The sequence below is a fragment of the Homo sapiens genome, chromosome 17, assembly GCF_000001405.40.
Source record: "Homo sapiens chromosome 17, GRCh38.p14 Primary Assembly".
Lineage (NCBI taxonomy): Eukaryota > Metazoa > Chordata > Mammalia > Primates > Hominidae > Homo > Homo sapiens.
This window is the reverse complement of record NC_000017.11, coordinates 9,001,045-9,014,923: the sequence shown is the minus strand read 5'-3', so window position 1 is coordinate 9,014,923 and position 13,879 is coordinate 9,001,045. Positions and strand designations below refer to the sequence as shown.

The 13,879-nt window shown below is 50.7% G+C and overlaps 1 protein-coding gene across 1 annotated transcript in view, besides 3 other annotated features; it reads right to left on the bottom strand.

The window, feature by feature from the left end:
- Nucleotides 1-11,837, bottom strand: part of NTN1 (netrin 1) — a 240,914-nt gene extending 229,077 nt beyond the window's left edge. The window contains exon 1 of the mRNA XM_047437096.1: nucleotides 11,780-11,837. The gene's annotated coding sequence lies outside the window, so the exon portion shown is untranslated. The remainder of the gene's footprint in view (nucleotides 1-11,779) is intronic.
- Nucleotides 10,473-11,102: an enhancer, noted in NCBI's record as "H3K27ac-H3K4me1 hESC enhancer chr17:8907139-8907768 (GRCh37/hg19 assembly coordinates)". NCBI's record gives its function as "activates a minimal SCP1, AML or CMV promoter by ChIP-STARR-seq in primed H9 embryonic stem cells {active_cell/tissue: H9 hESC(primed)}" and the evidence as "EXISTENCE:reporter gene assay evidence [ECO:0000049][PMID:30033119]".
- Nucleotides 11,727-11,776: a silencer, noted in NCBI's record as "silent region_8194". NCBI's record gives its function as "represses an Ori minimal core promoter by ATAC-STARR-seq in GM12878 lymphoblastoid cells {active_cell/tissue: GM12878}" and the evidence as "EXISTENCE:reporter gene assay evidence [ECO:0000049][PMID:35858748]".
- Nucleotides 11,807-11,916: a silencer, noted in NCBI's record as "silent region_8193". NCBI's record gives its function as "represses an Ori minimal core promoter by ATAC-STARR-seq in GM12878 lymphoblastoid cells {active_cell/tissue: GM12878}" and the evidence as "EXISTENCE:reporter gene assay evidence [ECO:0000049][PMID:35858748]".

Sequence of the window (13,879 nt, the reverse complement as noted above, 5' to 3'; positions counted from 1 at the left end):
TGTGTGAACTAAAATAATCTAGGTCCAGAGTTTGGAGCTCTTAGTCAGAACCTGTGGGTAAGATGGGCTTGACTGGGTCTCAATCATCCCTGAGAGGAAGGATGGGCTTCTGGTCTACCAAGAGTATGAGCTGTGTGGTCTGGATGGACTGTGCTTCTTAACACCTCTGGTCCAGTTAAGAGGACAGACCCTAGATGACTCAGTTCCCAGTACTCCCAGTAGTACAGCCTGGGAATTGCAGCAGGCAGAGGTGACCAGGAGGATTTGGCCTCTCCAGGAGGGTGAGCAGTGGCCTGGATTCATAGTGTTTCCTTCCCAGATTGAAAGAACTTGACTTGGACAGGCCTTGGTTCCAGTGTGCCACTTCCTAATGGTGTGACTCTGGGCAAGTTGCTTGCCCATCTGAGCATCCATTTTTTTCATGGTGAAATGGGGTCACTGCATTCACCTTTATAGGGTTGGTCGGCGATTTTAAAACTTGGATCTGAAAGGAAAGACCCTGGCAGAGAGTAGATGGATGTTCAATGTATAGTAGGTTTTGAGTTGTTTTGTTTTTGCTTTTTTTCATATGTATAATTCTCAGGTCTGCCTACCAGATCTCTTACCCTAGAAGTACGAGGGACAGTCTTTCATTTCAAGGCATCTAGAGCCCAGCTCACCTGATAGGCTGCATGGAGGATTACTCAGGGAATCCCAGGTCCCTGGACAGGATTTCAGGAGATGTGACTGTCCTGGAAAAGGCTTTAGAACATGGGGAGCAGGCCAATCTAGTGGGAAGCGTTCCTGGAGATATCCATTTCCCCAACGTCGTTTATCTGTATCTTCAGCTCAGGCCTCCCCCTTTGCAGGTGTCTTGGCTGAGAACTCAGGAGCTGGGCATAGAAGCCCATACAAACCCCAAATCCTCCAAATCCTTTAATCTACCAGGGCTCTTTGAAGGGGTGAAAATGCCTGTGGATGGGGGAACCAGCAGATGTAATTTATTTTCATTTGCAAAAAGCTTTTGACAAGGTTCCACCCCAAATGCTATTAAAATAAAGAAAATGGGTCACTGTGTAGGGAGGCTTTGTCATGGATGGAAGACAGGCCTTGAGGAAGGAACAAAGGGTGCAAAGAAAAGGATGTTGCTCCAGATGGAGAAAATAGTGGGGGGCCTCTGAGCCAGAGTTGGGGCTCAGCTTGTTTACCGGTTACACAGACTCTGAAGGAGGGAATCCCCTCGTGAAACCTCAAGGTTTAGAGATGACACTGGACTGATGGCAACAGCAAGAGGATGAACTGGAGAATCTCAAGACCTTGTGTGAATGGGCCAGGGAACAGGTTAGCAGGTGATGGATCTGGGAGACATCATTTAAAATACTCTTAGAGAATGAAAGGTTATCAGTGAAGATGATAGAAAAATATTACTGGCCGGGCGAGGTGGCTCACACCTGTAATCCCAGCACTTTGGGAGGCCGAGGAGGGCAGATCACCTGAAGTCGGGAGTTCAAGACCAGCCTGACCAACATGGAGAAACCATATCTCTACTAAAAATACAAAATAAGCCGGGTGTGGTGGCGCATGCCTGTAATCCTAGCTACTTGGGAGGCTGAGGCAGGAGAATCGCTTGAACCTGGGAGGCGGAGGTTGCAGTGAGCCGAGATTGCACCATTGCACTCCAGCCTGGGTGACAAGAGTGAAACTCTGTCTCAAAAAAAAAAAAAAAAAGAAAAAGAAAAAAGAAAAAAAGAGTGTTTCTCTGTAGAGGTGGTATTGGCATTGTGGTAGGAAGATTCTTCCCTGGGCAGAACAGACCTGGCTACCACAGGACACTTAGCATCCCTGACCCCTGTCCACTAAATGCCAGCAAGTTCCACCCACCCCTGACACACACAACACACACACCATACACCAGTCATTATGACAACCAAAAAATGGCTCCTAGAATGTATACATCCCCCTTTAAAGAGCCATCCCACCCCCATTCTGATTTACTTGAAATTAAGCCCAATGTGCTACTAAGAAAAGTAAAAGAAAATAAAAAGCAAACTACATTCTCAGGAAGAGAATTGGAAATGAAACAGGATGCGTTTAGGATCTTCTGACAACTTCTAGTTATCACATCTCAACATCCTTGTGGTGGCTGAGCTGACCCAGACAATAGCAACTCCACTGTGGTACATCAGAAGCACAAACAAAGCAGGGGAGGGAACAGGACGTGCCAGGAGGGGAGGTGGATTTTAAGCAGGTACTTGGGGAAGGACTCCCTAAGAAGGATCCAGTAGAGCAGAATGAGTGAAGTGAGGAAGGAAGCTCTGGGGACAGATGTTATTTGGGGGAAGGGTACATTCAGGCAGAGGGAACGGCACGTGCAAAAGTCCCAAGACAGAGCTTGTTTTTTTTTTTTTGTTTTGTTTTTGTTTTGTTTTGTTTTGAGATGGAGTCTTACTCTGTCACCCTGGCTGGAGTGCAGTGGTGCGATCTCAGCTCACTGCAACCTCCGCCTCCCGGGTTCAAGTGATTCTCCTGCCTCAGCCTCCCAAGTAGCTGGGACTACAGGCATCCGCCACCACGCCCAGCTAATTTTTGTACTTTTAGTAGAGATGGGTTTTACCATGTTGGCCAGGCTGGTCTCGAACTCCTGACCTCAGGTGATCCACCCACCTCGGCCTCCCAAAGTGCTGGGATTACAGGCGTGAGCTGCTGCGCCTGGCCCAGAGCTTGTTTAAGTAATGAGATGGGGAGTGGTAGGGATGAGCTCAGAGGGGAGGCTGAGAGCTAGACCAAGCAGGGCCTTGCAGACTTTGATGGGGAATTTGAGCTCATCAAGATCCATCTTAGATACCTTTAAGGCCCAGATTCCTTCTTTTCCACATAGCTCTGATTTTCATAGCGTCTGAGGAAGGAACTATTCTTTTCCCTCAGAATCCCCAGGGTTTAACAGACTGCCTGGCACAAAATAGGAGTGCACTACAAATTAATTGACTAAAGACCACAGAATTATGGACAGTTAAAGTGGTGACCAGCTCTGTGCGGTGAGCTAAAAAAGCCCCCCAGGGCCAGGCGCAGTGTCTCACACCTGTAATCTCAGCACTCTGGGGGGCCGAGGTGGGTGGATCACGAGGTCAAGAGATCGAGACCATCCTGGCCAACATGGTGAAACCCCATCTCTACCAAAAATACAAAAATTAGCTGGGCATGGTGGTGCGCACCTGTATTCGCAACTACTCAGGAGGCTGAGGCAGGAGAATCACTTGAACCTGGGAGGCAGAGGTTGCAGTGAACTGAGATCGTGCCACTGCACTCCAGCCTGGCTACAGAGCCAGGCTCCGTCTCAAAAAAAATGCCCCCCCAAAAGATATCCATATCTGTAATCCCTGGAACCAGTGAATGTTACCTTATATGGGTGTAAAAGGGTCTTTGCTGACGTGATTAAGGGTCTTGAGATGGAGAAATTGTTATGGCATATCGGGATGGACTCTAAATGTAATCATAGTTATCCTTACAAGAGACAGGCAGAGGGAAATCTGACAAGACAGAAGAGGATAAAGCTGCGTGAGACAGAGGCAGAGATTGGAGCCATGCAGCCACAAGCCAAGGGATACCAGCAGCCATGAGAAGCTGAAGGGCAAGGAAAGGATCCTTCCCTACAGCGGGGGTCCCTAACCCCCAGACCAGGAACTACCACTAGTCTGTGGCCTGTTAGGAACGAGGCCACACAGCAGGACATGAGCAGCTTGAGCAAGGGCAAGGCAGCTAAGCTTCGTCTGTATTTACAACCACTCCCCATCGCTCGCATTACCACCTGAGCTCTGCCTCCTGTCAGATCTTCAGCTGCGTTAGATTCTCACAGAAGCAAGAATGCTGTTGAGAACTGCACATGAGAAGGATCTAGGCTGCACATTCCTTATAAGGCCCTAAGTCTTGATGATCTGTCACTGTCTCCCATCACCCCCAGATAGGACCATCTAGTTGCAAAAAAACAAGCTGAAGCCTCACACTGATTCTACATGATGGTGAATTGTATAATTATCTCATTACACATTACCATGTAATAATAATAGAAATAAAGTGCACAATAAATGTAATGCGCTTGGATCATCCCAAAACTATCCCCTACCCCCACGCCCATGGAAAAACTGTCTTCCACAAAACTGGTCCTTGGTCCCAAAAAGGTTGAGGACCGCTGCCCTACAGCCCTTAATTGCAACCCATTGATACCAATTTCAGACTTCTGGCCTCCAGAACTGTGAGAGAATAAATTTCTGTTGTTTTAAGCAACCATTTGTGGGAATTTGTTACAGCAGCCGCAGGAAACTAATATCCCAGCAAATCTCAGAAATGCCAGAATTAAGAGTCTTCTTCAAATCTTAAAAGACATGCTTGGGGCAAATGAAAGGAACAAAATGAGAGACCACTAACACGCTGGTCTTAAAACATTCATGAAGTCTTCCTTTGGGTTTTCTTCTTACGGGAAGTGACCACATCTCACTGCTCCTTCCCTCCCCACAACACTGAGTTCAGAGCAGTCAACAGAAGCTTGCCAAGTGCTTGCTGTTTGTATTAAGGTATTGTAAACCTCTTCTCTAGAGGCCACGGTTGCAGCACCCGTTACAACCCAGATCACAGTCCAGAAGTAAGTGAATAGCCTCCTGGGCATTTGAGAGAACAGTAGCCAAGACACAGGGGACTTCAGTCTGCAGGGACCCCAGGAGTTCTTCATTTACAAGACTTTATAACCTTAGGTCAGACATCTTCTGTTCTTCCAGGGGACTGGAGAGCCACAGCTTAAGATCCTTGGGGACATGGTGACTGCTGAACATGGATGCACTGAGAAGTGACAGCTGACAGTAGAATCCTATCCCAGCCACCATTCAGGGAGGCAAGACTGGTCCTGCAACCACCAAAAATTCCCAAGGGCTTTACTGTATGAGAGCCCAGCAGAGTTAGAGAAGGACAGAGGCGGCCCTTAGAGAGTATCTCATCCAAAGTTCCCCAGATTACGAGTGAGGAAACTGACGTCAGGGAGGTTGAGCAAATTGCCCAGGAGCTGCTGTTTCCAGAGATGGCTGTGAGTCATCAAAACGGGTTGGGGGCCACTCATTCAGCCACACCTAGGGAACACCTGCTGTATTCAATTCCGCTAACTTAGGCGGGGGAAAAAAGTCATGATTTTGATGGAAAAATGTTTTTCATGAAATATGATTCCATAAAAAGTTTCTATGCTTCAAGGAGTAAGCTACTGTTAACTGCAAAAACCAATTATGTAGAACAGCTTATTTCCCCCAAATGTCAGTAAAATGAGGTATTGCTGGTTTATATATCACACAGAAAGAAAATTTAGAGGATTTAACTCCAAGGATGAAAACAGACATGGATCATTGATTCCAAACAGAATGGTTAAGTGCATGGATTATTCAACCATAATAAGATGGCAAAGGAAACTAAGATTTGGTGGGGAAGGAAGGAATGTCCCCCTCACCTGTGGATGCTGATATCAGGCAGGAGCATCACCATGCCAGCCCCCAGAATAATGCCAGAAACTACGCAGAAGGTGGGAAGGACATGACCTCGCCCAGGGAGCCACTTCCTAGCCTCTGGCCAAGCACCTGCTTTATGGGGTCGCCCAGAGAGCGCTGGTTTCCAGGTCTGCTTGCAGGGAGCTCCATGGGTGGTCAGCAGGGTGATGCAGGCCCAAGAGGACTGTTTGGATTTCAAGCAGGTACTTGGGGAAGGACTCCCTAAGAAGGACCCAGTAGAGCAGAATGAGTGAAGTGAGGAAGGAAGCTCTGGGGACAGATGTTATTTGGGGGAAGTGTACATTCAGGCAGAGGGAATGGCATGTGCAAAAGTCCCAAGACAGAGCTTTTTTTGTTTTGTTTTGTTTTTGTTTTGTCTTGTTTTGAGATGGAGTCTTACTCTGTCACCCTGGCTGGAGTGCAATGGTGCGATCTCAGCTCACTGCAACCTCCGCCTCCTGGGTTCAAGTGATTCTCCTGCCTCAGCCTCCCAGGTAGCTGGGACTACAGGCATCCACCACCATGCCCAGCTAATTTTTGTATTTTTAGTAGAGCTGGGGTTTGGATTGTACCCTAGTCAGACATAGTCCCCTCCGTTAACATCTCCGTGATGCTGGGCAAATCACTTCACCTCTGTAAGTATCAACTTCCTCTTCTGAAAAATGTGGATAGTAATCTTCCTTCCTTGTTCTCCCGCCCTCTCTTCCTTCCATGGATATCAGGAGTATTGAGTAAAAAACCATATGCAGAAGACCCTAAAGTGTCCAAAGCCCTAAACAATTTTCATAAAGTTGCATAGACTGCTGGGTGCACAGTGGCTCATGCCTGTAATCCCAGCACTTTGGGAGGCTGAGGTGGGCCAATCATTTGAGGTCAGGAGTTCGAGACCAGCCTGGCCAACACGGTGAAACCCTGTCTCTACTGAAAATACAAAAAATATCAGCTGGGCGTGGTGACACATGCCTGTAACCCCAGCTACTGGGGGAGGCTGAGGCAGGAGAATCACTTGAACCCAGGAGGCCGAGGTTGCAGTGAGCTGAAATCGCACCACTGCACTCCAGCCTGGGGGACAGAGTGGGACTCCATCTCAAAAATAAATAAATAAATAAACTAATTAATTAATTAACTTAAATTAAAAAGTTGCCTAGAACCAGCAAATCCAGTGATACTGCCATCACCAAGCTTACTACAGGGCAAACAGAGATCATGTACAGGACAGTGATGACTGGCACCACAGAGACACTGGGCTTTAGTGTTAATGAGCATCAATAATGTATTGTTAATAAGCCATTAATAATAAGACAATGAGAATGAATAGTAAATATCAATACAAAGTATCCACTTCAGCTCAGGGTCAGATAGATCACTCAAGAACAGAGTCTAAGTCAAGTGCATTGGCTCACACCTGCCATTCCAGTACTTTGGGGAGCCGAGGTGGGAGGACACTTGAGGCCAGGAGTTTGAGACCAGCCTGGACAACACAGCAAAATCCTATCTCTACAAAAATAATAAGAATAATAATAAATTATTTGCAGGCATTGTGGCTTGCACCTGTGGTCCCTGCTACTTGGAAGGCTGAGGTGGGAGGATAGCTTGAGCCCAGGAGTTGGAGGTTACAATGAGGCATGATCATGCCACTGTACTCCAGCCTGGGTGACAGAAGGAGACCCCATCTCTAAAAGCAAGCAAGCAAGCAAGAAAGAAAGAAAGGAGGGAAGAAAGGAAGAAAGGAAGGAAGGAAGAAAGGAGAAGGAGGGAAGGAAGGAAGGGAGGGAAGGAAGAAAGAAAAGAAAGAAAGGAAGGAAGGAAGGAGAAGGAAGGAAGGAAGGTAGGAAGGGAGGGAAGGAAGAAAGAAAAGAAATAAAAGAAAAGAAAGGAAGGAAGGAAGGGAGGGAGGGAAGGAAGAAAGAAAAAAGAAAGAAAGATAAAGAGAAAGAAAGAATGAATGAATGAAAGAAAGAGAAGGAAGGAAGGGAAGAAAGGAAGGAAGGGAAGAAAGAAAAAGAAAGAGAGAAGAAAAGAAGAGAGAAAGAGAGAAAGACAAGGAAGGAAGGAAAGAAAGAAAAGAGAGAGAGAAAGAGAAAGAAAGAAAAAAGGAAGAAAGAAAGGAAAAGAAGGGAAAGAAAGAAAGAAGGAAGGAAGGGATGAAAGAAAAGAAAGAGAGAAAGAGAAGGAAGGAAGGAAAGAAAGAAAAGAAACAGAGAGAAAGAAAGGAAGAAAAAGGAAGGAAGAAAGAAAGGGAAGAGAGAGAAGGAAGGAAAGAAAGGAAAGGAAGAAAGAAAAAAGAGAAAGAAAGAAAGAGAGAGAAAAAAGAAAAGAAAAGAAAACAATGGAGTCTCGTAATCACAATTGTACTCGTAATTATAACCATGGCGGCTAGCATTTCTTGAGCACTTACTGTCAGGCCCCGTGGAGGGAGCTGGTATGCTGGGTCTTGGCCAGGGGGCTTGGTGAGGCCATGATGGCGGTGGAGAAGCTGGAAGTGAAATTGTGAACAGCTTCTCTTCTTAGGGAAGACAGGGAAGGAGAGGATAACCCAGAACTATAGGCCCCAAGAGTGGGTGCTACTAATATATCTTTCTTGTTCCCTACTGTAACCCTGAGTACCCAGCACAAAACTTGACACATTGTGATCACTCAAAAATGTTTGCTAAATGAACACAGAAGGGCCCTACCAGGGCATCCATATGCAAGGAACATGGATTTCTTGGTGTCCAGGGCCATATCTGGGCATAGCATTAGTTGGGTTAATTTGGTTCTGCATCCATGAACCTTCATTTCCCATCAATTCTTCTTCCACATAAAGAAGATTCATGTTGCACGTCATGTTGGCTTGGCCCTAGAATGTGGATGATGTCCTTGCCATCATCAAAATCTCACAATCTGTGATGTGCACACACACACCTCACATCTCCTGGCTCCGGATTGGGAGTCCAGCCTTTTCAACAGAGCCAAGGCCCCTCCCTGCACTGGGTGTCCTCGCTCAGCATCCAAAGGGCTCAGGAGTCCACCACCTCCTGCCTGGGCCCCCTCAGCGAAGATCTGATTTTCTCATCATCTGGATAGTCTCAGCGACTCGCAGCAAAGGGATGAACCAAGCTGACCTTTCTGGAGGTTTGTTTAAAGCAGAACAATGTTTGTCTTGTCCAAACACTATGAATTACTCCAGAGAAGCCTGCCCAGTTTTACAATTCGCAGCTACAAATGGCTTACATAAATAGGGACTTGTCCCCCCCACTACCCACCACCCCCGTACCTGATGGCTTCTCCTCCCCCTACCCACTTTCTTCCACTTTTCCAGGCCTTCTCTTTGCCCCTCCACCGCCCACTTCACACCTCCAAACCCCAGCATGCTGAAGGGGCAGGTGCTGGCATTCTGGGCCACAGCTCACACCTGGGTTATTGCTGGCATGGGTCCCCCTATGGCCGGCTGCTCTGTCCCTGGCGTGGGCAGATTTGCCTTGCCAAGGGGGGCCTCTGGGCACATTTGTACTGTCTGTGTGGGGCCTGCAGTGTGCAGTGTTAGGTCCAGCTGTGAAAGCACATTGGTAAGAGAAGGCCCCTGGGTTTGGGGACTCAACATCCAGGCAGCCTGCGGTGCACTCTGGCCTCTCCTCATCTGGCTGGGTGCACAGTTCACCCCCTGCCGCTCCCTCATTGGCTGCACATTCTGGAGGATACTGGAGCATCTCCTAGAAATAGACCTCACCCACTATGGCCTCCAGTCTGGGAGGACACCGAAAAGACTGTTCTGCAGATCATATGTGACGCACATAGAACAAGCAAAGCCCATGGTCCTGGGAGAGAAGGGCCTGCTAGGTAAAGAACCTGATTTGGGCTGCATTCCCCTAAATATGGTCCTTATACCACCTGCATCAACATGCTTCAGGATGCTTGTTTAAAATGCAGCCTTCTGGGCCCCTCCCCAGACGTAGGGAAGCTGTGGGGCAGCGGTGGGGAGGAGGAGGGAGGGTGTGTGTGTATGTGTGTGTGTGTTGGGTCGGGGTGGGGGCGGTTGGAAGTCTGATGCCCAGAGTCCGAGATTCACTGTTTGCCATGAAATCCATTCTGGCTCAAGCCCTCTAATTAGCTGGGTGACAACTGCAAGTCACTTTAGGCCTCAATATCACTATCTGTATAATGGCTCTAGAATCTGTGGAAGGATGTTTCCAACTCTTAGAAAGCGTGATTTCAAGGACAGCTGGATATCAGAACCCGAAAGCCACAAGGGGTGGGTGGAGGCAGCCTGAGAGAAAATCTGGGAGTCGCTAAAGCTCCCAGGAGAATGTTGGTGAAGACGTGGAGAGATGCGGGGGAGGTGCAGCAAGGTTGGTGGTCAGTGGTGGGAGCGGTGCCTGGGATCCTTCTACTGAGAGCCCCCTTACTTGGGGCCACATGTGATCTCATTTTATCCTTGTTTTGCAAATGAGGAAACAGACACAGAGGGGAGGGATGACTTCCACTCAGAAGTTGATGAGTAGTACGGAGATTCCATCTCCCCTACACACCTGGGACACGCATCTGGCCATTCCAGAAACTCCCCTTCGTCCCAGCTGTGTCAGTTCTGCCTCTCAACCGAGCTAAGATTTCGCCATAGAGCCACAGCTCTTTCTCTTCTCCCAGTGGCAGGATTCCACTGGGTGAAAGGGCCCAGGGCCAAGTCGGCCGGGTGAGGTGGATACACGCTGAACCCCGAAGACGGGAAAATCCAGAGTCTGGAGCTTCACCTGGCTAGAGCCGAGCCAGCCCTACCCACTGGAGGCGCCACAGCCTGGCTGAAGGCGCTGGCGCGGCGCGGTCCTCTGGATTAGGGCTGCGGCGGGAGCGCACGATCCCGCTGCACCAGTGGGCTGGGGGTGCCGCAACAGGAAGGCCCCAGCATTCAAACTCCGTAGGCCGTACGTGCCCAACACTTAGCGCGTCACCGGATCCAGAAGGGATCAAAGGATAAAGCCTCCGTCACCCGCTCAGCAGATGTCCCCAGGCGGACCCGAGGGTCCCAACAGGGGTGGCGAGCAGGAGGCCGGGGAAGACACCGTGTCACCTTCCAGGCCGCGAGGGCGACGGGGCTGATAGCACAAGGAACTCGGAATAAAAAGTCTGTGCAGGTCGACCCTGTTTCTACTATCTATGCTTGTGCATTGAACTCCATTCACAATTTGGGAGCCCCAGAAGCTTGCCGTGTCGCCTCGGGCACGCTCCGGAGGGTCTGGGCCGCGGGCCCTCCTCTTTGGCGAACCTCGGGGGTTTTGGACGGACGCTCCCGAGCCCCAGCTCCGCCGTCCGCGCCTTGAGCAGTCGCCTGCGCCTCCTTCTAGATGCGCGTTTGATTTTCTAATCAATCTCTTTGTCCCCTGCGGCCTTCACCCGAGTCTCCAGTTTCCCCGTTTCCCTCGGCCCCCGCCTGGGTCCAGCTCTCGCCCGACTTTCCCGTCGAAGGCACTCGAGTGAGTGATTCCCGGGAGCCGAGGCCGAGGCCGGCGGGTCCGCGGCGCGGGCCGGAGCTGTATGGAAATGGCCAGAGGAGCCGGCGGGCGCGGCGGCGATTTATTCTGGGAGTGACAGCCCCTTTGAGCGCTCGGCGAATGGCATTTTCTGTCTGTGAAAGCCTTTCTTCCCACCTCTGTTCAGATTAGCCCGGGGGATGAATGCACCCATTATCCAGCCCGCTGACCATTCTGAAACGCCAAATTAATTACTAAGCACTGAATCAGGCGCCGGGGCCGGGGCACCGGGAGGTGTGAAAATAGCGAGCGGCTGGAGATGGGGAAAGCGAGGGGTGCAGCGCCGAGGGGGCCGGGCGGGGTGGCCCGGGGCGCGGGCGCGGCAGGGCCGGGGCTGGCTTGGCCGGCCGCCGAGCGCGACCTGCCGGCGTGACCGTGCGCGACCGCGGGGCCAGCGGGCTACAAAGGACCCGGGCGGGCAGGAAGGCGCGGAGCCGGGGTCGCGGCCCGGAGCAGGCTGGGGCTCGCCGGGACCGCGGCCAGAGCGCGCCAAGTGCGCAGGACGCGGGGCTGGGGCTCTGGCGTGCGCCCCTCGCCGCGCACCAGTGCCTACTTTTCCACGCACCGCCCGGGATGGCCGCCCCCAGACGGCCCCGGCCCGCGGCCACCCCCGCCATCCCCGCGCAGGCTCTACGCCGCTCCAGCTGCCCTCCGAGGCCTTCAAGAAAACTTGGGCGCCGCCCTCCGACCGCAGCCCCAGCCAGAGCTTCCCGAGCGCGGGGCAGCCGCGGGCCGCCCCCACCCGGCCGCGACTCGGGATCCGCGGGTGGCACTTACCTCCCCGAGGCGCCGGCGGCAGCGGGAGGCGAGCTCTCCGCGGCTCCCGTTCGAGTGCGCGGGGCACGGAGGAGCGCGCGCCTTTAAGACTCTTCCCCGAGACTCCGCCAGGTGGTGTCACGCCGGCCCGGCCCTCGCGGCTCCTCGCCCCGCGGCCACCCGGCTCCCCTGCCCATCGCGGGCAGAACACCAGCCTCCCGCTCGCACCCTGCGCCCCGCCGCTCGGGCTCCAGTGGAGCTGGGCCAAGATAGGATGCGTGTAACTTGGGACACACAACTATCCAACAGAAAGCCACCCAACCTACACACTCTAGCTTTGGTTTGTCTGGGAGTTGCAGGGGTCTTTTTGTTTGTCTGTTTGTTTGACCGAGTGCTGGGGGTAAAAATGGGGAGGAGAGAGCTGAGAAGTCTGACCCAAGGACGTGCGATCATGTCCCCACTGCCATCACCAGCGACAAACCTCAATTCCATGCTAACTGGTCTTTTTGCCCTTCATCCAAGATGGTCTGCTGACACGCCTCCCCCAATGACCATTAAAATGACTGAAGAGATAAAATAGAGGGAGAACTGTCGCCACTTAACACTAGGGGAATGCGTCATTCACACTCCTGAAACTTAGAAAAGTTTAAGAGGATCCGAGGGATGGCTGAAGGAACTCCACATTCATCAGGCGAGAAGCAGGAGCCGGCCTGGGAATCCCCAGCACAACACTCCCCCGGCGCGCCTCCTCCAAGCTCTGGGTACGTGTGACAGTTCACCCGCGAGGCCGGCGCCTGGGAATCTCTGCCGAGCTTAAGGCTGCTGGAGGACACAGGTTTGCCGGCATAAACTAGGATCCTAGCTTCAGGCCATTATTAAAATTTTACATCATATGCTTGCTCTTTGAAGAATCATTTTTTGACATTGGCATTGTGATTTCAAACTACGTTCATAATTAACTCAGTTTTTCTCTTTTTTTTGGTAGTGGGTGTGTGTGGGGGTGGGGGGCGGTGGTGGCGCAGGTGTGTGTGGGGGCGGGGGGCGGTGGGGGCGCCGGGCCCTGCTCAGTCATCCTGGCTGGAGTGCAGTACAGTGGCGGGATCATGGCTCACTGCAGCCTTGACCTCCCAGGCTCAAGAGATCCTCCCATCTCAGTCTCCCGAGTAGCTGAAACCACAGGTGCATGCCACCACGCCCGGCTAATTTTTAAAACACTTTTTATTTTGTAGAGACAAGGTCTCAATGAGTTGCCCAGGCTGGTTTGGAACTTCTGGCCTCAAGTGATCCTTCCATCTTGGCCTCTCAAAGTGTTGGGAATACAGGTGTAAGCCACTGCACCCAGCCTTCTAACTCAGTTTTTCTGCCTACATTGTTTATTGTCATTTCATTTACGTAAATGACTTCCTCATTCCTGAGTTCCTTACTTTGATTAATTTCTCACACCACTGAAATGCTACTTTGAGTAAACCTTGGGGGAAGGGTGGATGGACGGTGGATTTTTTGAGTCTTCGCATGTCTCAGATTGTCTGTTACTTTATACACAGACAGTAGTTAGATATAAGAGTCTAGGGTCATAATCCTTTATTTACACTTCAACTCTCTAAAATAGGCATGTTGCTAGCATTAAACAGGGAAGCAAATGTAAAGCACTTACCGTGTTCTGCACCTAAGACGTAGTAGAGGATCCATGACTAACTATTTATGACTATCCTTTATTAGTTATTGATTCATTGTCTGTCTTGTGCTTTTTTTTTTTTTTTTTTTTTTTTGACAGGGCCTTGCTCTGTCCCCAGGCTGGAGCTCAGTGGTGCGATCGCAGTTCACTGAAGCCTTGAACTCTTGGGCCCAAGGGATCCAAACCTTGGTCCAAGATGGTCCACTGACACACCTCCCCCAATAACCATTAAAATGACTGAAGGAATAAATAGAGAACCGTCGCCTCCTGTGTAGCTGGGACCACTGTCATGCCTGGCTAATTTTTCAATTTTTTTGTAGAATCAAAAAATCTTTTTGATTCTTTCTTTTCTTTTTTGATGGAGTCTCGCTCTGTTGCCCAGGCTAGAGTGCAGTGGCGCTATCTTGGCTCACTGCAAGCTCCCCTTCCTGGATTCACGCCATTCT